This window comes from Homo sapiens, chromosome 9 (assembly GCF_000001405.40).
Source record: "Homo sapiens chromosome 9, GRCh38.p14 Primary Assembly".
NCBI classification, from domain to species: domain Eukaryota; kingdom Metazoa; phylum Chordata; class Mammalia; order Primates; family Hominidae; genus Homo; species Homo sapiens.
Window position 1 is genome coordinate 135,230,985 of NC_000009.12, and position 26,159 is coordinate 135,257,143.

At 53.0% G+C, this 26,159-nt stretch overlaps 1 long non-coding RNA gene across 3 annotated transcripts, besides 1 other annotated feature; it reads right to left on the minus strand.

Moving 5' to 3' along the window:
• Positions 1–6,721: 6,721 nt before the first annotated feature.
• On the minus strand, positions 6,722–24,450 carry LOC107987138 (uncharacterized). Of its 3 annotated transcripts, XR_001746967.2 has the most exons (3): positions 24,258–24,450; positions 21,378–21,746; positions 6,722–15,250 (listed from the first exon to the last, which is right to left on the minus strand). It is a non-coding gene; the product is annotated as an uncharacterized LOC107987138 (long non-coding RNA). The 3 variants fall into 3 exon arrangements; XR_001746968.2 differs by lacking the exon at positions 21,378–21,746 and having other exon boundaries at positions 24,224–24,450; XR_001746966.2 differs by lacking the exon at positions 24,258–24,450 and having other exon boundaries at positions 21,378–22,731.
• Positions 19,701–20,272: an enhancer, noted in NCBI's record as "H3K27ac-H3K4me1 hESC enhancer chr9:138142531-138143102 (GRCh37/hg19 assembly coordinates)". NCBI's record gives its function as "activates a minimal SCP1, AML or CMV promoter by ChIP-STARR-seq in primed H9 embryonic stem cells {active_cell/tissue: H9 hESC(primed)}" and the evidence as "EXISTENCE:reporter gene assay evidence [ECO:0000049][PMID:30033119]".
• Positions 24,451–26,159: the final 1,709 nt, after the last annotated feature.

Below are 26,159 nucleotides of genomic sequence, written 5' to 3' on the forward strand. Positions count from 1 at the left end.
TTAAGCAACTAAAGCAAGCAGGGAAATATATGAAGCAGTGGTTTTCAGACAATTTATGCAACATGCAGCACACAACAGTGATCCCAGAGAGCAGGCAGCAGACGGGTGAGCCCTGCAGGAGCCCCCCTCATGCCTAGAGAGAGTTTTCAGATGAGCCCCGGTCCTGCTGCCTGGAGGAGCCACAGCCCAGGGTTCAGGGACTCTGAGGTGCGGGCATTCATAGTGCTGGGTGCTGGAGAGGAGGAAGCTTTCCTGAGAGTGAGCTCCAGAGGCTGCAGAGAGGCCCTGGGAGCCACTGGCTGTGCATGTCCCTGAGCAGGCTGCAGGGGCCAGGGAGAGACCACACCGAGTAGCAGACAGAACCATCCCCAGAGCTCGCATGGGAGATTGGGAACCGCTCATGTCCCCTGCAGGCAGAGTGGAGAGACGTCCCGGCACAGCAGACACTGGGAGAGGGACTCAACAGGGTGCCCACCTCAGGAGTGGGCTCAAATTAGCCCCAGACCAAAAGATCATTCTGGACATCACTAAAAAGAAAACTTCAAATAGATCAAGCTGATTCCAATGTTACTGTGTCCCAGGATACAGCCCCGAAATACTTTTCAAGATACAAAAATATTCAGCCCCAAACAATGTAAAATTAATAATCTCTGGTATCCAAAAATGACCAGGCTTGCAAAGAAGCAAAATATGCAATCATAATTACAGAAAAATAAATCAATAGAAACAGACCCAGAAATACCACAGAATTTTCAGATGAGGACATTAAAAACACCATTATTAGTACATTTCATATTCAAGAAAATAGAGGAAAGTGTGAGTGTGATCAGGAGAGAAATTAAAAATATAAAAAAGATCCAAATAAAACTTCTAGGGATTAAAATCAACATTTGAAATGAAAAAATACTAAATGAGGTTTAACACAGACATTATAGGACAGAAGATTAATGAATTTGAAGATATAGTAATAAAAACTATTCTAAATAAAACACAGAGAAAAATATTGAAAAAAAATGAACCAATCATCATAAATTCTGGGACAACATGAAGAGTCCTAGCATCTGGAATTGGAGCCCAAAACAAAGGCAGGGGTTGGGATGGGCACGGAAATCATATTTGAAGAAACAAAGATAAAAATTTTTCCAGGTTCGATACAAACTATAAACACACAAATCCAAGAAGCTCAATAAAACCCAAAGAGAAGAAACGTGAGAATACCACACCACAGAGCTGAAAACCAGCCAATGGCTGAAAACTCATGATAAAGAGGAAATATTAAAGCAGCCAGGGGGAAAGGATATTACACACAGAAGATCAAAGAAAGAGTGAAATTTGATTTCTTATAAGAAACAACGCAGGCCCGAAGACAACAGAGGAACAAGTTTAAAGCACTGGGATTTTAAAAGCTGTCAACACAAGAGTTGTAGAAATAGATGCCCAGTAAAATACATTTCCATAATGTAAGTGAAGTAAAGCTGTGTTCAGACATACAAAAGCGGGGGGAACCCACCATGACAGCAACACTGTGAGCAGTGTTAAAGGACATATTTCAGGCGGAAGAACATGATACCAGATACAAATTTAGAACTTGACAAAGAAAGGAATGTGGCCGGAAATAATAAATATATAGGTAAATAAGTAAGTGATGATATGTATCATCTTAAAATTTATTGAAAATAATTGTCTAAAACAAAGTAAATACAAAGTATTGTGGGACTTCTCATATGTGTTCAGATAAAATGCATGGCAACAACCCTATAAAGAATGAGAACAAGGAAACTTACACTATACATGGAGTAAACTTTCACTACACATGAAGTGGTGTGACATTTTTAGCTAGAATGTGATACGTTAAAGATGTTTATTGTAAACCTCAGAGCAACCACAAAAAAAACACCCAATAATAGAGAGCAAATGGAGTCTCTATTCAATTAAGTCTGTATTCAATTAATCCAGAAGATTAAAAAGAACAGATGAGACAAACAGAAAACAAATAGCAAGATGATAGATTTAAACACAATCATATTTATATTCATATTAAATGTAAATAATCTAAACATTTCAATTAAAAGGTATAAGATGGTCAGATTCAACAAAAACAAGTGAGATTCAACCATGTGCTATTATAAGAAACACACCCTAAATTTAAGACACAAAGATGTTAGAAGTTAAAAGATGCAATATGATATACCCATGAAAATTCTAATAAAAGAAAAGCTGGAGTGCCTCTTTTTAACATCGGACACAATGTATTCCATAGCAAAATATCTTATCAGGGATAAAGAGGGTTATTTTATAGTGATAAAGGGGCCAACTCCTCAAGAGGACATAACAATCTGAAAGGTGTATGCATTTAATAAGCGATCTCCAAGGTACATGAAGCAAAAGCTGGTAGAACCAAAGGGAGAAATAGACAAATCCACAGTATAGTTGGAGATTTCAACACACTTTCTAAATAATTGATAGAATAAGTAGACAGAAAGTCATTTAAGACATAGAAGACTTGAGCAACATTATCAACCAACTCAACCTACTTGACATTTCTGGAACATTTGACCCAGCAAGAGTAGAATACACATTTTTTTACAAGCACACAAAGGAAGTCCACCAAACTGTATTCTATTCCATAGAAAAAGCCTCAATGCTTTAAAAAGATTGAAGTCATAAAAATGTGTTTTGACCACAACAGATTTAAATTAGGAATCATTAAGAGAAGGTATTTGGAAAATTCTCAAATATTTGGAAATTAAACAACACATTTCTAGATGGGAAAAGGAAGAAATTGCAAGAGAAATTAGAAAATACTTTCAGTTAAATGGAAATTAAAAATGCAACATATCAAAAGGCTTGGAAAGTCCCAGACTGCCAAAGTTCACTCAAGAAGACTTAGAGAATGATATATATCAAACAAATTGAATTTGTAATTAAAATTATCTCCACACATACACACAAACCCTCAATGATCAGATAGTTCCACTGGTGAATTCTATCAGATTAACACCAATTCCACACCAATTCATCCAGAAAACAGAACAGGAGGGAGAATTTCCCACCTTATTCTATGAAGCCAGCATTTCCCTGATGCCAAAACAGAAGAAATTACAAGAAAAGAAAACTATAGGCCAATATCCCTTGTGAACATAGATGCAAAAATCCTCAATAAAATATTAGCAAATTGAAACTCACAATATATAAAAAGGATAATACACACCATGACCAAGGTTTTATCCAGGAATGCAAGGTTGGTTTAACATTTGCAAATCAATCAATGTAATTTATCATATTAACAACAACAAAAAATGAGCATCTCCATAGATGCAGAAAAATCTTTTGACAAAAATCTAACATCTACTCATGATTAAAATTATTAGCCAACTAGGAATAGAAGGTGGTTCCCTCAACCTGATAAAGGACATCTATGAAAAGCATACAGCTGACATCATACTTAATGGTGAAGGACTGCTTTGGCCCAAAGATTGAGAATGAAGCAAGAGTGTCCATTCTCATCCCTTTCATTCAACATTGTATTGGAGGTCCTAACCAGTGCAAGAAGGCAGGAACAAGAAATAAAAGGTACACAGATTAGAAAGGAAAAAGTAGAATTGTCTCTAACCACAGACAGCAACAGGATTGTCTAGGTAGAAAACCCTAAGGATTATTTTGAAAGCTACTATCTCTAATAAGTGAATTTAACCATTTCCCAGGACACAAGTTTGCCAGGGCTGCCTCAACAAAGGGCTGCAAGCTGGGCAGCTTAAACAAGATAAATTCATTTTCTCATGGTCCTGGAGACTTAAAGTCCAAGATCAAAGTGTCAGTGTGCTTGCTGTCATTTGAGGCTCTCTCCTTGGCTTGTAGCTGGCCATATTCTTCTTGTGTTTTCACATGGTCTTCTCTCTGTACCTGCGTGTCCACATTTTCTCTTACCATAAGAACAACAGCAATGCTGAATTAGGACCGACCGTAATGACTTCATTTTAACTTCATTACCTCCTTAAAGCCCCTATCTTTACAATCATATTCTGAAGATCTGGGGGTTAGGACTTCAATATATAAATTTTGGAGGAGCCACAATTCAGTCCATAACAGTCAATAGATAAAAATCAATTGTATTTCTATATGCTAGAAACAAATCATCAGAAATTACATTTTTTTAAAGTACCATTTAAAAGAACATCAGTGAAATAGTTGGGAATAAATTAAAATATGTTCAATTCTTATATACTGAAAGTGATAAAAAAGCTGAAAGATATTAGATAGATGATAGATAGATAATAGATAGATAGATGATAGATAGATAATAGATAGATGATAGATGATAGATAGATAAATAGATAGATGATAGATAGATAGATAATAGATAGATAGATAGATAGATAGATACACAGATACATAGATAGATATCCCATGGTCATAAATTAGAAGACTCAATGTTGTTAAGATATCAGTTTTTCCCTAATTGATATATACATTCAGTGCAATTCCAATCAAAATCCTGATAGACTTTTTCACAGGATTTGACAAACATATTCTAAAATTTATTTGGAAAAGCAAAGGACCTGGAATAGCAAAAACAATTTTAGGGGAAAAAATCAAAGATAGAGGACTTACATAACCTAACTTCAAGACTTATTACATTACAGTACTCAAGACAGTGAGTAACCAGTACAAAGATAGACATGGATTAATGGGACAGAACAGGAACCTCAGACATAGACCCAAACAGATATGGCCACTGATTTTAGAAAAAGATGCAGTAAATCCAATGGCAAAACCTTTTCAGCAAATGGCATGGAGACAGTAGGAGCTTGCATGAAGAAAATAATTCGATCCCTACCTCAAGCTGTTCACAAAAAAGCAGAAGAATTAAAGAGTTCAGTATTTTAATAGACTACAAAAGTTTTGGAGGAAAATAAAGAAGCACATTTTCATATTCTTTGGGAGAGGGAAACGTGAAGTAAACTGAAACCCGAAAGCCACGAAGAAAATGACTGACGTCTTTTACTCATAAAACTGTTCTTATAGCTTCTGTTTGACCAAAGGCACTATTTCTAAAATTCAAAAGACAAGTAATAGACTGGGAGAATATATCTGCAACCCTTAAAATAAACAAAGGATTCTTATCATTCATAGAAAATATGAAGAGCCCTTGCAAGCAAAGAAAAAAATTATGACAAACCCAACAGAAAAATAACCAGAGGTCATAGCAAGCAACTGAGGGTGTAGGGGGCATGCAATTAGAATAATTCAAATAAATTCAAATTAAAGTAGTGAGATAATATTTTGTCTCCAAATTTTCAATATTTTTTTTTTGAGACAGTGTCTTGCTCTGTTGCCCAGGTTGGAGTGCAGTAGCATGGTCTTGGTTCACTGCAGCCTCCACCTCCTGGTCTCAAGTGATTCTCCCACCTCAGCCTCCTGAGTAGCTGGGACTACAGGTCCGCACCACCACACCTGGCTAATTTTTTATTTTTTGTAGAGATGGGGCTTAGCTCTGTTGCCCAGGATGGACTTGAACTTCTGAGCTAAGCAATCCACCTGCCTGGGACTCCCAAAGTGCTGGGATTACAGGCGTGAGTCACTGCACCCAGCCAACAAAAATTTTAAGTAGTGAAAAACATCCAGTCCTGGCTCCGGGATGGAGAAGCAACCAACCAGGGTTGCCCCACACGATGGAAGTGTCAACGTGCAAAGCGTATTTATTGGACAACTTCACGGTGTCAATAGAAATGGACAGTGAGCACACCCTTCAGTGGGGCAAATTCATGTCTAGGACTCTAGTCTATAGCAGCAGCCGGCCAGGTGCACAAAGATGAGTGCATTCGTCTCCCATTGCCACTGTAACAAATCTCCACAAACTGAATGGCTTTAAAAAGAACAAATTTATTCTCTTACAGCTCTGAAGATCAGAAGTCTAAAATCACAGTGCTGGCAGGTCTTACAAGAACGCTTTCAAGGGCCCACCAGTTGATCCAGGATGGTCTTCTATCTCAGGGTCTGTACCCCTAATTGCATTTACCAAGTCCCTTTCACCATGCAAGGTGACATAGTCACAGGTTCTGGGGATGAGGGTGTGGACAGCTTTGGGAGTGTGGAGGCAGGATCCTCTACTACAATGGTGATCCAAGCATGTTATTTGCAGCATTATTTGAAAAAGCAAAAAACTAGATGAACCACATGCCCATCAATAAGGGAACAAGTCCATAAAAATACAAAAGCTGCTTCACATTAAGAAGAATGAGGCCGGTGCTGTGGCTCATGCCTATAATCCCAGCACGTTGGGAGGCTGAAGCAGGCAGATCCCTTGAGCCCAGGAGTTCGAGACGAGCCTGGGAAACATGGTGAAACACGTCTCTACTAAAAATACAAAAACTAGCCAGGCATGGTGATGCGTGCCTGTAGTCCCGGCTACACAGGAAGCTGAAGCAGGAGGATCACTTGAGCCTGGGAGGTTGAGGCTGCAGTGAGCTGTGCACTGCACTCCAGCCTGGGTGACAGAGGGAGACCCTGTGTCAAAAAAAAAATAAAAATAAAAGGAAGAAGAATGAATGGAACTTACCAATCACACTGACATGCAGAGACTTCTGAGCCCCATTGATGAGGCTGGGCTGTGCTGAATCTGATCCCACTCGACTGAAATAATCTTGATGATGATGATGCTGATGCTGATGCTGCTGCGTATGACATGCTTACCAGTGGCTAACGTGGAGCAAGTCACAAAGCAAAGAGACGTCCAAATTTTATTCTATAGACATTTGCTTGAATATTTCAGAATAAAAATGTGTGCGTTCACTGCTTGTGTAATAATATTAAAGGTAAATGAAGTATATTGTTTGCCCTCTGCAGTGCCAAGCTTTTCCCCAGTTTCCTGAGGATGGGATTCTTGTCCCCACTCCATAGACAAGGGCCTGAGACTAGAGGGGACTCACATGGTGGATGGCAGAACTGGCTTCTACCCAGATCTCCAGCTCCACGGCCTGCAGCTGTGGCCGCTGGGCCCCCCACCACCTGCTGATTATTTTGGAGCCCTCCCCAGGACTGCAACCCATTACGTGTTTCACGCTTCCTCCCAGCTTCCCAGGACACAAGGACAAAGACCCCCGCTCCCTAACCAAACCTCAGCCAGCCTCCCCTGAGCCTACTTTTTGAGGCCTCACTCATGGGCCTCATCTTTGGCCACATAGTCTGGTTTTAGCAAAACTCCTGCTAGGTTTGCTTAGCAAAAGTCCCCCCACCCTTGATATCTGAGGTCAAGAACCCTCCTGGGCTAAGCCCTCAACCTGGTTGTTGGCCCAAGCTCCTCATCCCCCATCCTGGATATCAAAGTCCTTGAACTGCCTGTAGCAATAACCCCTGGGCTTTGGTGTCTAACTTGGCTCTTCATAACTTTCCACCCCGACCCTCGCTCCACTCAATGCCTGCAAATCCCAGCTGCCCTGTGGCATTGAGAGTTGAGCCTGATTTCTCTCTCCCACTGTGATTGTTTTGACACCTATTGCAATAGTCCTGAATAAAGTCTTCCTTGCCCCCTCTCCCTTTTTTTTTTTTTTTTTTTTTTTTTTGAGACGGAGTCTCGCTCTGTCACTCAAGCTGGAGTGCGATATTGCAATCCTGGCTCAGTGCAACCTCTGCCACCCGGGTTCAAGCAATTCTCCTGCCTCAGCCTCCCAGGTAGCTGGGATTATAGGCATGCACCACCATGCCTGGCTAATTTTTTTGTATTTTTAGTAGAGACAGGGTTTCACCATGTTAGCCAGGCTGGTCTCGAACTTCTGACCTCAGGTGATCCAACAGCCTCGGCCTCCCAATTCCTTGCCGTTTTAACAACTGTCAGGTTAATGTTTTCTCTAACGATGCCCATAAGCAGAGGCCACTGCAGGGAAACAGCACAGTCTGAGGTCCCACACGGGAGCCCAGGGCAGCTCTGAACAGTTGCAGCCTCTGATCGCACCTTAGCGGATCACGTGAGTGCCTCAGAAGGCAGTCAGCAATCCTTTGCCATGAGAACATGTTTTCCAGTAAAACCACAGTCTTTTACCCCAAAAGGTTAGCAGGTGGAATCAGTAGCTGGTTCAAGAAAACTAAGAACTCTCAATTTTTTACCTCGTAAATGTGTTCATTAAACCGGATGCTCAGAACGTGGTATTCTAGATTCCCGAATAACCGGGTCTGAACTAATGAGTTTTTACTCTGCTTTGAACATTTTTGCCCTAATGATCTGAAACATATTTTTAAAAGCAAAACAGGTGACGGGGATGCGAGGAAGCAGGTCGGCAGGCGGCCTCGCGGGTGCAGGGCCTGGGTTGCTTCTGCACTGCAATCCATCCTCGTTGTGTCTGTTGAGCCCAGAACTGTGTCAGGTTCTCTGAAGGATACAGAGAGGCCAAAGGTGTGTCCCTTGTCCTTGAAATGCTCTCAGGTATAATCAGAGTACAAGTACAGATCCTCTGCTGAGCACTGACCACCCTGGGAGCTGAGCCCCCCTGGCCTGCGGGCCCTGAAGGGTGAGGAAAGCCGATCGGAGCTGGGCCTGCCATGTCCCCAGAGCTCAGGCACGTGACTGTTCAGCAAGCGGACCCCCTCACCCAGGCTGGAAGGCCCAGTTTTCTGCCCAACCTGGTGGCAGCTCTCAAGCTCTCAGAGCAGGCCATCTACCTTGGGATCTCCTGGAGCTTGGGCCCTGGGTGGGGCCTTGAGCGCATCCCTGACAGGCGCCCGGTGTCATTAACTGCCGTGCTGCTGGGTGTGGCCCCACTGTGAGTACAGGTTGGCTCCTGTCTGCCTCTCTCTGCCCCGTCTCCCAGCTTTCCCCCCTCAATGCCTGGGCCCCTTTGCTTCCATGGTGCCCTTTAACGTGCCAGCCCCTTCCTGCCTGAGCCATCCCACACACTGTTCCCACCGCGTGGAAACCTCTCTCTTATTACTTGTCTAGTGAACTCCTATTCACCCAACAAAGCCTCAGCTCGAATGCCCTCATCTGATAGGCCATGCCTTGTGGCACATTCTTCTTTCCTCTCTCAGCGTGTCCTGATGTGTGATGGTGTAGGTATAAAACTGTCAGTGTCCTTGGCCTCTCAGGCTGGAAGGCAGCATCATTAGAGGCAGGGATGCATCAAACCTTGCATTTGGGAGACAGCCTGGTTCTGCAAAGGTCAAGGATCAACTGCCATGAGTTCCTACACATTCCCTGGAGACACAGAGGACCAGGAGGGGACTCTGCAATGCCTTTCTGGACAAGGCCTTAAGTGGCCTTCTCAGCCCCCAAAACTATGTTGCACCTGCTGCTCGCTGGGGAGCTCACTTAGATCAGTGCTGGCTCCAACACAAAGGGGCAAGCCAGCTTTCTTTCTAACTTAGGAACAGGAAGCTGTTCTCTTATCAGAGAAGTTCCAGCACCAGGAAGCAGGTGGAGGAGGTATTTTGGGGTTTGGAAGAGGCCCTCAAGAGCCTGTGAAATCACACCAAGTAGGCAGCCACCTACTCAACCTAAATATAAAGCCAGGCTCAGGCTGTCAGAGCGGCCTCCAGTCAACCACCCCCACCTGGCAACGTGGGGCCCCAGAGTGGGGAGCCGCTTGTCCGTCCGGCAGGAGCCCCCAGACCACCCCTCTGCTGAAAATCACTCCCAATGTCCATCTCTGCTCCATCCCAATGTCCGACTATTCCCAAGGCCTTCATCCTCATGGGCGACTGGGAACTGGTGTGATTCAGAAAGGTTAGTTAGCTGGAGTATTGACGGCGTATTCACGAGACTTGAAGAAAGCATGTGAAATAAAATCCTTTGGCCATGCCTCGGAGGGTCCATTTTAAAGCTTCCGGGGTCCTTGGAGTGGTTCTCCTTTTCTTCGGCTTTCTAGATCCCTCCCTTTATTTCATGACCTCAAGGGTGTTCAAGGTCATCTCTTCTAAACCTCCATCAGCCTAGTAAAAGGACCTCAGAGTTGGGTGTCTACAGGGCTGAGGCCAGGCCCACTCTTCCCTGGCTACCATCCAGCTATGGACAAGGCATCAGCCTCCACATTCTTCTTGCTGAAATAGGGGCAGCAGTCGCCAGGCCTGGGAGAGGCTGTGAGGATGAGACACCGCCTGGCGCACGGGAGGTGCCCAATAAACCCTGGCGGGGAAGAGCTTGTTTCATAAAGTTTCCAGCATGAGATCATTCTGGTCCATTTTATTTTCAAGCGTGACAAGTCGGCGCTGAATCTCTGCTTTAACGCCTTCTATGGCTCTCTCCGGGGCAGCATCTGCGTGGAGATGATTGGATGCTCTCCTGAAGGAGAGCCCAGCCTGCCACCAGGCAGCAGGCCCCCAACCAGGTCAGAAGGAAAGGACCAGCAGGCTGGGGGAGGGGATGTAAAGGCCGCTAAGCCCAGGGTGGGCTTTTTTCCACATTATAAAAATAACAGGTTGCAATTCACTTGGAAATCGGGAGATCCACTCAACCAAGAGTGCAGCAGATACATTAGCCGCAGCCAAATCCATCTGCAGGGGCTGAGCACCTTGTGGACTGATAAACGAGGAAACCTTAGGCTTCCTGGCAGGGTGCGGGCCATGGCCTGTGGCTGCCCCGCCCCTGAGTTTGAGCCGGCCAAGAGCCAACCATCCTGAGGGCTCTGGGTGAGATGATTCTCAAGAACAAATCTAAGTTCATTCTGGTTCCCACTGACAAATCGCCCATTGCTCTCTGCATCGTGACAGCTGCCGTCTGCACCTTTGTGGGAGATGAGCGATGTCTGCTGGTAGTTTCAATGCCAGGCCTGTCTCTCTGTTTGCTTCTCCTGATGCTCCAAGAGGAGCCAGCCCGTGAATTTTACAGAGCTTCTCCTGGCACGCGCCATGAAGCTGCACAGGTTTGAGATACGCCGGGATGGTTCCCCTGACCCTGCAACCCCAGCAAGCCCAGGCCTGCAGGAGGAGCCATCGGGCAGCCACAGGCGAGGAAGAGCCTGCCAGGGCTGCTGGGGCCTTTGCAGGGAAGTTTGGTACTTAGAGGAAAAGCGTGGAGATTAACGTGAGGGGTTGGGAGAGGTTGCTTCCCACCCTGAGTGCCCCTTCTGAACCCCCAATGTCTGGTGTGTGTCCTGGGCCAATCTGCCCTCCACACTCCTGCTGCCTGCTCCCCGACCCCAGGCCCCCGGCCTGCCTTCACACCACCTCGCTGGCGCCTCTGCCACACCTTGGCTGAGGCTCTTCTGACCACCAGACTAGTGCCCGGTGGCCTTTCTTCATTGTCCTCCTCACTGTCCCCTCCAAGGCCACCCAGGCAGGACCCTCCCTGAAGCATAGCCTGAGCATGTCCCCTTCCCCGCAGCCTCAGGGCAGCCTGTGTGACTTCCCACCTCCTCCTCCAGAGCATGCCCAGGCTCCACCCTCATCCGCTGCTCACGGCTGTCCACTTCCCAGCCCTCGCCTCCTTTCCAGCCTCTCCGCTGTCCCCTGCATCCTGGCCGTTCATTCATTCATTTGCTCAACCTTGGCCCTGCGTGAATCACTCCTGACTCTAACCTGGTAACCCCTGTGCAGGTCTCAGGGCACCACTCCCCTCGCCTCTCACCTTGCCCCACATGCCATCTGTGCCCCTGCCCCGGGGCCCTTGCAACCTCTGCTGTCTCTGCCTGCTGGCTACTGTCTCTTCCCTTGGACGTCAGAAGCTGGCAGTTGGTGATGAGTGTGGAGGACTCAAGCTGCGCCAGCGTCAGTCGGGACCCAGAGGAAATCCCAGCCCCGCGGCTTGCCCTGGGGATGGCCCTGGGCTCTCTGAGTTTCCATTTCTTCCTGCCTTGGAAGGAGACTGAGATAGCAGAGCAAGGGGCCTGGTTCCAGCCTGACAGGCAGCAGGTGTCCAGTGAAAGTTGTGAGCTTTCAGCTGCTGTCAGAAACATAGTCTCCGGAGAGATGATCTTGGGGGCTTTTTGGGGACCCGAGGCCCGTCTATGGTCAGCAGACCAGCCCAAAAGTGCACGAGGGGGACCAGGGCAGCCCCCATGCCCGCCCTGGCAGCCCAGACAGCACTGTAGAAGGGCGGGAGGGGCCTGTGGAAGGCCCCTGGGCTGCAGGTCTGGATGCCGGCATCTTAGCCATGACCCTGCAGCACTGAGCTGGGGTCTTGGGGCAATTCCTCCTCAGAGGAAACAGCATCAGACGGAACGATCCCTGAGGTCCCCTGCAGCTCTCCCTTCCTATAACTTGTATACAATCCACTGCAATCGCTGTGTTCATTTGAATACCTGTAGTGACGCACGGCTCACTCCCTCCAGAGACAGCCGGTGAGCCTTCCCAGATGACTTTTTCCAGCCACTCTGGGCTGAGTGTTCGTGGCCCACCTCTGATAAGGGAGCCCCTGTTCGCAACCCAAAACTGCGCTCCCCGCACCCACAGACATTCATCTTTGGGATCCCCAATGCCAGTCTCAACCTCCGCAGGACCTCCTGAGACAGCCTGGGAATCTGGGAGCTGCGACCCCTCCCAAAGGTCAGAGCCCGTGGGCACAGCTTCCGGCAAGGCCCCTGTTCACTTCCTGTTGCTCCAGCAAAACCAGGCACCTTCTTTCACCAGGGTCCAAGCCTGGACAGTGATGCAGACCCCTGCACCTGTGGGTCTCCCTTCCCGCCACCCATGTGGCTCAGCGTTTAGGTGGCACAACGTTCCGTTTGCACACTGCATTCTGGCTCCAGCTGCCTCTCCACCCTGTCTCCTAGCAGCCCAAATGTGTGCAGCACCAGCCGGACAGGCAGTGCTCTGGATCATGCCTCAGCATCTGGGCAAACAGATCATGGGCTCCCCTCCCCAGGCCGGTCTCCGGGACGGACTCAGCAGCTACTTCTTGGCTATAGCTGCACTCTGACTCCAATGGGCCTAGGGCAGTGGGCGACTGCCATCCACCACCCTGTCTAGACCCCGCCTGGCGGGCAGCTCTGCTGGGGAAGCCTGGGGCCCCTGTGCGTGGTGGGGGTTTCAGCTCCCGCTTCCCGAGTCGTGACTCACCGAGGATCGGGGCTGAGTGCGGTTTTATTTCATAGCAATGGGGCTTTTTCTTCCCTCCGGGAGCTAAAAAGTTGCTATAATTCTGCCAGCATGTCTCACCATTTCTCCTGTGCTGGAATAAAGGGGAAACACTTTTTTGGTTTCAGAAAGGGCTATTAGCTGTCAGGAAGCAATCTTTCCCTGACTGGAGGTTCTTTTTGCCGGGTTCCTGAGTCCCCTGTTCTGCTGCCTGGCTGCGAGCCCCCAGCCAGCGAGCGGCACCGTGCGGCTCGGCTGGCCTCCCGGCGGGTGATGGATGGTCTGCCCGGAGCTTTGGGGAGCACCGACACCCAGCCCAGCGGGCCAGGCGCCGTGGTCCCTGCTCACCAGCGGGTCTTCGCCCCGGGCTCTTGCGCCTCTGGCAGTGTGAAGTGAGCAAAGCGTCTCTGAAGCTCGAGCGTGGGGTGCGGGCGCTGTCGCCTCTGCGCCTTCGGGACAGCGTCATGTCCAGGTGACAGCGCCGTGTCCAGGTGACAGCCAGAGCTTTGGACCACATGGTCAGACTTTGGACTCTGGCACTGCCCCCACTCCCCGCCCCGCGTGAGGCAGGCAGGCTGCTCGGCTTCTCTGAGCCTTGGTCTCCTAATCTGAGTCACAGGTGGTACCTGGGGTGGTTGTGAGAACAAAATGACATGCATCACATTTGGTCTGATTAATATTAATGAGTACTATTAATATGAATGCTCACTAGACCATGGCCCATCCAGGCAAAGCCCTGACGGAGCTGAATTCCAGGATCGTTTCCGAAGCTTGGCAGCAGCTGGCAAAGAGGCAGGTGGGAGGACGCGCTCGGGCCAGCCTGGGTCCCCTTGCCTCCTGCCGGAGCAGTGCTTGTTCTAACCCTGGGCTCTGCCTGCTTGTCTGCCAAATGCCTGCTCCAAAGGTAGGTGTGGTGACTGTGCGGTTGGCTCAGGGCAGCTCTGGGAACAGTGCCCAGAACACACAGAGGCTCTGGGGACACTCGGGGGTGCCCGGTGGGGCCTTCTTCTGAGCCCTTTGCCCAGGTCACACCATCTGCTCCTGGGCTCAACATGTGAAGCCCGGCACGGGGGTGTTTGCTCTCTCTTGTCCATCTCTCCCCAGCCGGATGCAGCTCCACAGAGCCGGAGCCTCATCTCCCGTGCCCGGCGCAGAGTCAACACTCAGAACATGCTCAGAAGGTGGCACTGGCCGGTCCTGGCCAGAGGCTTGCATGCCATTCACATCAGACCTCAGTAAGCTGAGAATCGTAACCCTGGTGCCCCTCTCTTTTCTCCACTTCCCCGAGGCCGCCAGGGCACTAAGCCTGGAAAGGAACATTGCCCGTTCAGGGAAATCACTGTGATGACTGGCTGCCACTCTAGGGCCTGCCCCACTGCCCGAGGCCCGAATGCCCCTTGTCCCAGCTCAGTCTGCCCCCTCCGTGATCCTGCCCAGGGAGTCTGTCCCCAGGACAATAACATCAGAAGCCCCAATCCTGCAGCCCTCACCAACCACCAAGGACAGAGGGTGGGTCTCCCACATCCAGGAATCTCTCGGGGCTCAGATCCATGTTCCGTGGCTGCTGGAGCGAAGCACCACAAACTGTGTGGCTGAAAACAACAGAAACGTATCTCCACAATTCTGGGGGCCGGCAGTCCACACCCAAGGTGTCATCATCAGGGCCATGGCTCTCCCAAAGCCTCTAGGGGAGGACCTTCCTGTACTCGTCCGGCTTCTGGTGGCCCAGGCGCGCCCTGGCTTTTGGCCACTTCACTCCAGCCTCTGCCTCCGTCTCCACGTGGCCGCTTCTCCCTGTGGCTCTGGCGTCCTCTCCAGCAGTCATTGGATTTGGGGCCCACCCGAAATCCAGGATGCTTCTAGCTAGAGGTCCTTACCTAATTGTATCCGCAAATACTCTGTTTCCAAATAAGGTCTCATTCTGAGGCTCTGGATATACATGAATTTGGGGGACCCTGTGTACCCCCACCACAAGGCTCACACCTTGAACCCCCACAGGGCTGGGGACAGGGCAGCCAGTCACCAACCTGCCAGGATCGGGGCCATGAGATCCGCTGAGCTCATTTAGGCCAATCCCTCCACGTACATCTGGGGAAACTGAGGCCCGGGGAGAGAGGGGCTTTCTCAGGTCCTGGCAAGCTGCTGGCAGAGCTGGGCTTTGCTGGGTCTTCAGATGCCAGACAGAGCCTCTGTCCTCAAGTTCTACGTGAGCAGGAGAGAAGCAGTGCGTCCCCGATGTTCCATCTCCCTGGGTAAATGAATAAACGGATAATCAATGGTCTTAGGGAACATCGCTGAGGCAGCAGGAGGACAGGGCTGGGACAGACGTCTGGAAGCTGCCTTCACAGAGGACACACCGAACAGGGCCATGGGGGCTGGTGGACGCTTTGGGGCATGGGTTGCATGGAGAATTGGGGCCTACAATGAGGCCCAGGAGGACAAGAACTAGGTGGGAGGTATGGAGCCGGGGCTGGGTGTTCTTGGTGTGGGGCTCAGGGTAGCCACGAAGTTCAAGGAGAAGCACAATGAAGCTGATGTCTATTCCCGGGGTGGCTGGCGACGCTCAGATCTCTGAAGCACTCTTCTCAGGAGAACAGGAGGCTTGGTTGGCAGGAGGCAAACATCTGTTCTCCCTCCTTCCTTCTGCTCATCCTCCCCCACCCTCTATGAGCAAACGGGGAGGCCCAAGAGTGGGCACAGACCCACCGTGGAGCCCTGGAAGCCTGGGCTGGCCTGGCTGGAGCCTCTCCTCCCAGAGTATGGGCAAGAGAGGTGTGACTATGGGATGGTAAAGGCAGGCGTGGGACCTGAGAGGCCAGGGGCAGTAGAGAAGCCAGGAGAGGTGTGCGGGCCACATGCAAGAGAGGAGGAAGAGGGGAGGACAAGGAGCGGGAGAGACAGGAGAGACCGGGAGGAGGAGGAGGAGGGGAGGCAGGAGAGAGAGGAGAGGGGGGCAAGAGAGGAAGGAGGAAGGAGAGGAATCCCTGAGGCACGTGAAGCTCCACAGGCCTCGGGTGATGGAGAAGCCCTGGGGCTGCCAGCCCCGGCCCCCCTGAGTCCTGACACGTCCCAGCGGAGCCCCAGCATCACCCCTCATCCTGCAGCAACAACTCACCCAAATCCCTAGCAGGACGCCCTTCACTGGCTTCCCCAACGTCCTCAGGAGACTAGAGGGGGCCACTGTGTGTGTTCCTCTCCCCACCCTCCAAGGGGGTTTCCGTGGCTGGCACGCCTATTTGTTTTGGTTTAGTTTTGTTTTTTTTTTTTCATTCTTTAAACAGGCTTAGCAGAAGGGAAGGAATATTAACAAGGATGAGAAACCCCAGGGCTAGGGGCTGGGGAGAAGTTAGAGGCTGGGGAGAATTTAGGGACCGGGGAGAAGTAGGCTTGTTTTGTGTTGATTTCAAGAAGCCTGGGGCAGACGAAAGGCATTGGGCATCGTGCCTAAGGGGAGTGGAGGAAGAGGAGGGGCTTTCAGGAGAGTTGATGGGTGCCACGTGCTCCCTTCCTGGTATCAGGAAAGTCTAGTAAAGAGTTGGAGTTATGCCGGAATGAACCCTGCAGGACTGGGTTTCTCTGGGGTAGCTTCTGGGCCGGGATGCCAGGGGCCTGACTTTCTCGGAGCCTCCTGCCAGGCACGGTGTGCTGGGAGATGCCACATGCTAAGGTGCCTTCCGGTGCAGGGTGTGTCGGGCACGCTGGGACCGTCCGTCTACAGCCTCTGGCACAGGTGTCGTCCCACCCCAGGCCAGATTGGCCCTGCTGTGCCGCACGGAGCCCTGACAAAGGGGTCGGCAGTGCCAGGCTCTGAGCCCTCGTCCCCGTGCGTCGGGAGGAGCCTGTGGGCTGCAGCGGGCTGACTCCCAGGCGCCGGGACACCGGTGCTGGGTGGACGTTGCCATGAAGGGCCACTCGGCCAGGCAAGGGAGGAGCTGTTAAGGTTTCTTTGCTGTGGTTCATCCATCCTGGAATGCAGGAACCAACCTCCTAGGGGGTCAGATGATGATTAAATGGAGAAGAAGAGAGGAAAACAGAATGCAGGAGTGACAGGTCTCCCACGCTGTCCCCAATCACAAGATCATTGTGGAGATAAACACAAATAGTTCAGCCCGTGCCTCCCCAAACCCTTCCTTTTCTCCATCTGGGGTTGGCACATTGGAGATTCATCAAACCAGGCTTCTAGGCATGTTTCTGACCTGGCTGTTTGGGAATGAGCCCCAGGCCTCAGGATGTCCACAGGCACGCAAGTGCACTGCAGAAGCCCCGTGGGTCCCGGCCACTCCGCCTCTCCCTTTTCCAGAAGCCATGGTGTTGGACTCCCATCCTACAGGGCCCGCATTGGACAACAAAGGCTGGGTAATGAGAGCTATGCGGAGGCTGGCAGAAAACCCTGGTGGGAGGAGCTAAGACAGGAGGCAAGGCCCCAAGCACTTCTGAGGGCGGAGTCCACCCCTCTGGACTCTAAAAGACCGTGGAGGGAGGATGTTCCAACCCTGGGACTGGACAGAGGGGAGCACCAGCCAAGCCCTCGCTGGGAAGCAAGGGCTTCAGGGAGAGGCAGGAGACGGACCACCACGGGACAAAGAGGTCCCTTTCTCTGGTGGATGCCAATGCAGGAGGCCCATGCTATTTTCTCTACCTATGGCAGCAGCAATAGGCTACTACCCCAGGCTGTGGCCACGGTCAGTCCTAGAGGCAGCCTCAAGCTCCAGGGTGGCAGGTGCTCCATGAGTGCACCTGGGAGGGTAGAATCAACTGGAACAGCCTTGCTTTGGGAGACAAAGCACTGGAATGTTGAGGGGTTCCCTTGCTCGCTCAGGACAAGGCCTGGACACCCCTCACCTGCGCATTGCCCTGGGCAGTTTCTGCACTAGTGACGCGCGCAGCCCTGCTTTCCCACCACCTGACACCTGAGAAGGCAAAGCTTCAGAGTCGGTGGCCAGTGGCCTGACCTCTACAGGATGGCGTCCGGGTGCCCAGCACAGTGGCCATGCTACCCTGAGGGCCTCGGGCACCCCACCAGGAGCCAAAGCCACTAGCGCTGAAGAGAAAATGATGAGAATCCTTGTCGAGCCTTCCTGGGTGGCCCCCACCCCATGCCAGCCCTTGAGGGCACCGCAGGCCTTCCTTCCTCCTATCCCCATCATGGTGCTGTGAGGGAGGGTTTGCTATGACCCCACTTCACAGATGCAGAGACTGAGTCATGCAGAGGGCCAGTCCTTTCCCAAGGTTGTAAGCAGCTGAACCAGCCTCAGACCTTGGCAGTGGCTTCAGACCCTGACCCTCCCACACGAATCCCCTCAGCCAAGGGGCTCGTTCCTGCTTGGAGCCGAGCCTCGCAAACAGCAGCCACCACTGTGTCTGGCCCCTGCTTCGGGGCCACCTTCGGACAACGTCCTTGTCAAAGAGGATGAGGCCTGGGCACTCATGGCTCCCTGAGCCTCCAGAAAGCCCTTCCCTCGCCCTCCTTGCTGCCACCCAGCCTCACTCTGCCCTGCCTAAGTGTCTACTGAAGTGGACATCCACAGTGCATCTCCCAAGGCTGGAAGGCTCAGCTTCCAGAAGGGACAGCAGCCCAGGAAGGCCCAGGAAGGAAGGCCGAGGGAGACACACTGGGGCCATTCTTGGGGCCCTGGGGAGAGAAGAGAAGGGAAGGGACATGAGGGGAGGGAGAGGGGGAGGGAGGGAGAGAGAAGAAGAGAGGAGCTTATGGATCCTGCTTCCCCTTGGCCTTCACTGCCCTGAGGATGTCCAGGTCCTGTTTGCCACATGACCCACTGGGGCAAGAGTGCGGGCAGCCACCTAACTTTACTCTCTCTCCTCCCCACCCCAAAGGCTTGGAACCAGCCACCAGGTGGATCGCCCTGGGTGGGGTGGGCGTCTCCACTGCTTTGCCAACACCAGTTGTGGAAGACAAGGCTGCTGGGGTGGAAAGGCACACGTGACATTCCCAGGGCAGGGGCTCCCAGCCGCCCTGTGCATTGCATCCAAAGACACCCACTCAGCTCTCAAAGAGGCACAGCAGGACAGAGTGAAGGCCGGAGAAGCAGGTTGGAATCAGGCACTATTACAACACAGGGAAACAGAGCTCCGTGGAGAACTAGGCTCCGCTCAGGATACAAGGACCGGTGGGGATTTACAGCCGAGGAGCCGGGGGGCAGTGGGTGGAAAATGACTCTGAGGGGGCATCAGGAGTCCCGGAGGCTCTGGCTCAACTGAGCCAACCAGATTCTTGGCAAAGGCCAGCCAGGGTGATCAGACATCACTGGGGATGGTGGGGATGAGGAATTGGCCCGATATCAAGGGTGATCAGATACTGAGGATGGGGATTCTCTCTAACTGACGCGGCAGGATTCTCGCCAAAATTGGACTCCTTGGCCGGGCACGGTGGCTCATGCCTGTAATCCCAGCACTTTGGGAGGCCGAGGTGGGCAGATCACGAGGTCAGGAGATCGAGACCATCCTGGCTAACATGGTGAAACCCCATCTCTACTAAAAATACAAAAAATTAGCTGGGCGTGGTGGCGGGTGCCTGTAGTCCCAGCTACTCGGGAGGCTGAGGCAGGAGAATGGCGTGAACCCGGGAGGCGGAGCTTGCAGTGAGCCAAGATCGTGCCACTGCACTCCAGACTGGGTGACAGAGAGAGACTCTCTCAAAAAATAAAATAAAATAAAATAAAATAAAATAAAATAAAATATTAAAATAAAATAAAATAAAATAGACTCCTAATGACAAGGCCCAAGGCTGGGCTTAGTTGAAAAATGGCTCAGAGGAGCCTGCCTGGAGGCTGCTCAAGAAGGGAGACTGTCACAACCCAGCATAAGGAGGAGCAGTAAAGATGAGCCACCTCGTGAAACTCCAAGACAGCCATCTGACAGCCTCAGGGGACCCTGGGGGACCTGCAATCTCGGCTTCACGATCCTCTCCCAGGAAGCAGGGTGGAGCCGGTAAAGGAAGTGCTGTGCTCACTCTGGCCCCCTGCCGCAGGTCAGCAGGACACCGGAAGCCTTCAGCCAGGATCGGGGAGGGCCGGGCTGCACCCAGCTAGCCTGTGGGTTCTTCCAGCACCTCAGCTGAGGGTGAGTGTTCTCAGCCAGGCTGGGTAGCACTGGAGGGGCTGCCAGAGAGAGCTGGATTTGAATCTCCCTCATCTACTTAGCAGCCTGACAGGTGCCGTGGGACTCAGCTGGTCTGATGGTGGGTCACATGACCATCTGGGCGGAGAGCTCCCCGCAAGTAGCTCCCCGCAAGCGCCAGGCACACGGTAGGTGCTTCATAAGCTCTCATTTGATCCTCAAAACCTCATGAGTCAAAGAGAGACGACATCCCGGCACCACTCATGTTCATAGGCCAGCTGAGGCTCAGGGGGCTGACTTCCCTGCAGCTATTTGGGAAGCAGGACAGACCCCAGCCTGCACAGCAAGAAGTGGGGGTCCAGATGGCATCGGCCAAGCATCCACTGGACAGGACCCCACAGGGCCTCCTCACTCCAGAAGGAGCAAGCGTGTGCCCCCGGTCTGGGAGGTGGGTGACAGCAGGGGGGCTGGACCGGTTTTTGACTATGGGGGCTAAACCTGTGTCATCCCGGGGCCTCTTCCAATGTGGGGCCAGCCAGTCACTGGGGCTCTGCAGAGATGACCTTCCTCTTGGTGATGACTTTTGGCAAAGCAAACAAAGTGCGCCCCAGAGATCTGGGCCAGCTGTCACAGCAAGTGAGGGGACCCCTCAGATGACAGATCTGTCCCCATGGGGTCCCTGTGCTCAGCCAAGACAGCAGTCGGGGGCCAGGAGGGCGTTCGACAGGGAAGGGAAGCCCTGCACTTCTCCTCTCACAGCCTTGCGATGCAGGAGATGAGCCAATTCTTTAATCAGGGAAACGGCACTGTCCCCTCAAGACACTTAACTGAGTATCTCAGGCCACCTTTCTAAGTGCCACATCGAATTGTCAGTGCCACACAATTTCCCCTAGAGGCATGGTCCTGGGCTCTGTGTCAGAGGGCAGTGCAGTGCTCCAAGGGGTGTGGAACCGAATCCCAATACACATGAGGTCTTACTGCCCATTTCCTGTGGAGTTTCATTCACGGCTGTTCACATACCCACAGCCCAGGTGCACACACGTGCACACACGGAAAATAGCTCATGCATGGACACGCAAATGCGCACCCAGAACAACACACTTCACACGCGTTCCTAGACACCCTCACATGCCTGCGCACCTGCCCATGTGCCCGTGACATGCATGTGCCCGTCTTACACACGCACACATACACATTTGAACACGCACGCTTTCACACGTGCAGTCACACACCTGCCTACGCACACCTATGTGCCCGTGACACAGATGCACACGTACGCAACATAGGCACACGCTCACCTACGCCTCCACATGGCCAACCCTGGCCTCAGCTCCTTCACCGTCAGTGCTGGTCTGAATAGAAAGGACTAGAAGACTTGCATCCCCGGTGGTCTAAGAAACATCCAAAGTTGGAGGGCTGTGCAGACTTGAAGCACAACCTTCTGCTGCTGGGCGGTGCCTGGCAGAGCCGGGCTGTTTGATCCTTGAAGCAAGCATCTGCCCTCAGTGAGGGGAGGAGCTGTTTGATCAATCTTTGATCAATCAGTGTCCAGCAGGCCGGCAGGGCCTTGACGAAGTCTGGCCAGGAAAGTTGCAAAAATCCACGATCCCTCTGATCAAAGATGGCCAGTTTTTAGTCCATCAGCTGCTCCGCTGGGCCTGTCCTCCCTAGAGCAGCGGCAACATGGACCACAGACACCCTCAGAAAGCCGCCTTCTTCCTGTCCCCGTGCCCACGGACACAGGCTCACCAAGGGCTCCCCAGTCCCTAATTATCCCACAAGTGACCGGGGAGGAAAAGCTCCCCAGGGGGCTGCCCAGAAGGATGACCCCAAAGGCATCATCACTTGCTGATCCTGGACCCAAACCTCATGTCACCTCACTCAGTGAGCGCTGTGATTAGTTCAGGGGTCTTCAGAGAGGCAGCCCTCATCTGGATTATCCAGGGGGCTCCAAATGCCTCCTAAGAAAGAGGCAGCGCAGGCTAGAGACAGACAGAGGAAGAGAAACAGGAGCACAAAGGCAGAGGCTGGAGGGACGAGGCCCCACACCAGGGAGTGCCTGGGAGCTCCTGGAGCTGGAGGAGCAGGAAACCTGGGAGAGCGTGGCCGGCCCACACCCGGATCCCAGGCTTCTGGCTGCCAGGGCTGTGAGGAAATAAACGCTGTGGTTTTAAGTCACCAAGGTTGTGGTGATTCGGCATGGCAGCCTACCGGCAGAAAATTAACACCCTGATCCGAAGCCCTGACCTTGCCTGGTCACTCCCAGTCTCCCCGAACCCACAGCACAAGGGAGAGCCAGGCCTGGGCCTGTGGGGGATCACAGAAGGCCAAGCAGACCCGGTACTGACCGAGGCTTGGGGAGGGAGGATTTGTGTGTCATTCAAGCCTCAGGCAGGGCTGTCTCTCCAGGCAAAGCAGCGCTCCCAAGGCGAGCAGCCCAGACTGGGGGTGGTGGATGGGAGGTGGTCGGGGGTGGCTGATGGCCTCTGACTCACCCCTGATGCTTGGTCTGGGGGCACGGGTGGGGTGGGGAGGGGGACATCTACCTCATCCTTTGGCTCCAGCCTCCCCGCCCTCATGCTCCTCTTCCTGTCTGCAGCAGCCGGCATAAAAGGCCAAGTAACAAAAACAGCCAGCAGCAGAGGAGTTGAAACTCTGCCCCTCTCCAGCAGGCGCCACTCTGAGGGAGAGGCCGCTCGGGGCCCAGCCTCCTGCTGCCGTGCCGTCGGGCAGCCCTCAGCTCCTGCGTCGTCTGCCTGGCCACAGCGGGATCGCCGTAGGATAGGAAGAGGGCGTGAGGGAGCACTACCGCCACCGCCACCGCCACCGCCACCGCCACCATCTACCGCCTGAGCCTGCAAAAGCCCAGGAGGCTGAATCACAGCCACGCCTACCGCATGGCGTGTCGGGGGTGCTGCCCAGCCCTGCATCAGGAAGGAGGGAGCATGGATCCAGAGGACAACCACTGCCTCTTTGGTCCACCAATGCTTTCTTTCGACACCTGCCAGGACGAGGACCCATTCCCATTTCCTGGAGCACTTGTGGCCTGCAATCATTTAGGGAATTAACTCCCCAAAGGGTCAACACTGCTGGTCAAGAACCAACTGAACCTTTTCCAGCTAGTGTGAGCAGAAAGGGATTGATTAGAGGACTCTGGATGGCTTAAATTATTTCTGGGACAGGGTGGGATGTCTCATGGGAACAAGGAGCTGGAGTGTCCCGTGTAGCCGGGAGATGCCAGCCTCCCACAGGACAGCCCCAGCACCTGCTGCCTCCACTGCGGCCAGGGGGACCCCAAGTCAGGTTCCCCGTGCGTGCCACTGTGGCAAACCGCTCCCTTTCATACCCAAGACTGTCGCGGGGACAGCTGACAACCAGGTCTCATGCCTACACCTCAGCTCTGAGGGAAGCTTCGTAATTATCATGATAGTATTTCACCTCAGAAGGCAGAATTCATGGTTGGGGGAAGCACCAGGGTGGCTGAGAGGATGCCCAGGGGACGCGGCCGTGAGTGACAGCTGTCCACTTCCACGGATCCCACCCAGACCACCGCCTGTCTGTTGGGCTCAGCTGGTGCCCAGGGCCCAGGCGTGGAGGGAGCAGTCTGCACACAGCTGTCCTCATCCTGGTGTCTGCTGCCCCGTACTTCAACAGCAGACCCAAGGGTGCAGTGCCGGTGGGACCCAGCCAGCGGGGCGGACAATGGGGCAAGGAACTACCTGAAAGGGAAAAACCGTTCTCAACCCCTGGACAGCGTCATCTCTCCGGAACCCCTCTGCAGGGCTGGGCCACTGTCTTGGCTTCCAGACAATTAGAGAGTTAATCTTTTAGCAAAGGAGGCCCTGCCTGCTGGCCTGGACATCAGGATGAGACAGGAGGGCCAGCCTGTCCAGCTCGGGACAGCAGGAATGCAGAGCACCCCCATGGCCCAACATGTCTCGGCCATCCATCTTCCTGCGGACCATGGCCACACCCCACACTGCAGGGGCCCAGGAAGGCTCCAGAGAATGCCCCACCTGCCCACAGAGCACAGGCCCACCCCTCCACTTGCCCCTCGAGTTATGGGGGGCTGAGGTCGCCGCAGCTTCCCCTTCCTCCCTGCACACAGGGTTCCACGGTAGCCCCAGCCCCTTTGCTCTGGCACCTTTTGGAGCCTCGGGCGGTGCCAGCAGACTCACTCTCAGGTTCCTCCGTGGAGCCGGTCACCCTGGCCACAGTCCTCTCTGTGCTCACAGGTGCTGGGATGCACTCTCCCGGGGTGGGAGGTGCAGCCCCAGGGCCGCCTGCCTACTCGGCCAGGCTAGAGCAGAAAGGGATTCATCAGAGGCCTCTGATCAATCCCTCTCGTCACCCTGCAGCACACTGCGTGCTCCCAAGTGAGGCCCTGTCTCCTTGGACCTGGAAACAAAGAGGTGGGTGTGGAGAACCTGCTGAGGAGTGACTCCAGGAAATATGAGCAAGGTGGGGGGTGAGGCCCAAAGGGCCAGCGTCAGTAAAGCGTAAGGAACCAGGCCAGTTACCACCTCAGACCAGTTCCCCGGGACCCTCCCAGGCCTCTGTGAACTTTGCATGTAAATTGTCCCTCAGAGGGCAACGCGGCTGGGCACTTGTCAGCAGAGCCTGGGGCCCCTGAGCAGAGACGCTTCAGCAGGGGAAGAAGTGCCCACTGCACTGGGGGTGCCCTGGGGGTGGCCAAGGGCGCTAGCTCCACCTGCTGCCCATCCCCACCCCATGCCTCGTCTGGAAGCCACTACACGCCTTCACCGTAGCCTCCTGTGGCTCACACTTCCCACCTGCCCCCGCACACCCCAGCCTGTCTCCTCCCACCTCCAGTGGGACGCCTCTGCCGGGAGCAGGAACAGCAGCGTTTACCAGGACCAAGTCCACACCCCTGTCCATGTCCTCCCTGGCCTCTTGCAGTGCCCGCCATGGTCCACCCTCCATCCGTCTCTTTGCTCTTCGGACCCCACACTCACATGCCCCTCTCTCTACATTGGCCACCGTGTCTGTAGCCCCTGCATCCCCCCCTCCCGCTGCCCCCTCTTCCCATCCTCCATTGCAGAGGCCCCTGGGTCCTGGGCCTTTCTCTGCCCCCTCCACATGCTCCCCCCAGGGCAAGATCCGGCCCTCAGCTTGAAACAGCCTCTCTATGCACTGACTCCTCCGCTGGACTCCAGGTGTGTGGTGTCCGGATCCTACTGGAAGATTCCACCTGGATTCATGCATCTGCATGAATTCCGTGTGGCCAAAACAGATCTCCTGACCCCTCCCGGCTCCTCGCTGCCCCCCTGCTCCCCACCTGGGTAGGAGGCTCTGCCCTCCACCTAGCGACACAACTCAACATTAGGCCTTGCCCTTCAATCTTCCCCTCCCCGACCCAGCCCCGGCACAGCCGTCCGAAGTCCTGCTCCGTCCCCTCCTGCCCTCTGCCTCCTCTCCACCTGGGCGCAGCCCCCGCCTCTGGCCTGCCCAGGCCTCCCTGGGGTCCTCTCTGTCCCTGCAGGGCTGGGTGGCCCCTTGGAGTGTTTGCGCTCAGGACCCTCTGTGCCCAGGGCGCGCCTCCCCGGCTTTAACTGTCTCCTTGACATTCACGATGCTGCGCAAATGGCTCCTCCTTGGAGACTCCTGCCCTGACAATGCAGCCCTGTGCGCTCAGCCTCACGTTGGCAGAGTTCTCTGCGTGGCAGTGATTCAAGTTGAGTTTTCCCATTTGCGTGTTAATTATCAGCTCCCCTCGCCCTGCACGCTTGCTAGAACATGAGTTTTGTGTGAGTGGGGACCTCGGACATCCCATTCTCGGAGGGACCCCTACGCCCCAGCCCAGCCTGGCACGCGCAGGTGGTCCACGCAGAGTTGGCAAGTGACATTGGTGACAAAGATGGGGTCTAAATCCTCTTTGTAAAAGTGTCTTCCCTCCCCCATGCCAAGGCCAGTGTCATTCTGTCTCACTTATAAGCTGGCTCCCTCCCCTCCCTTCCTCTCCCTTTCTCCCTCTCTATCTCTGTCTCTGTGTCTCTTTATGTCTCTCTCCACCCCCCACCAACCACTGGCAGCTCGTCCACCCTCTGACGGAAGGCGGG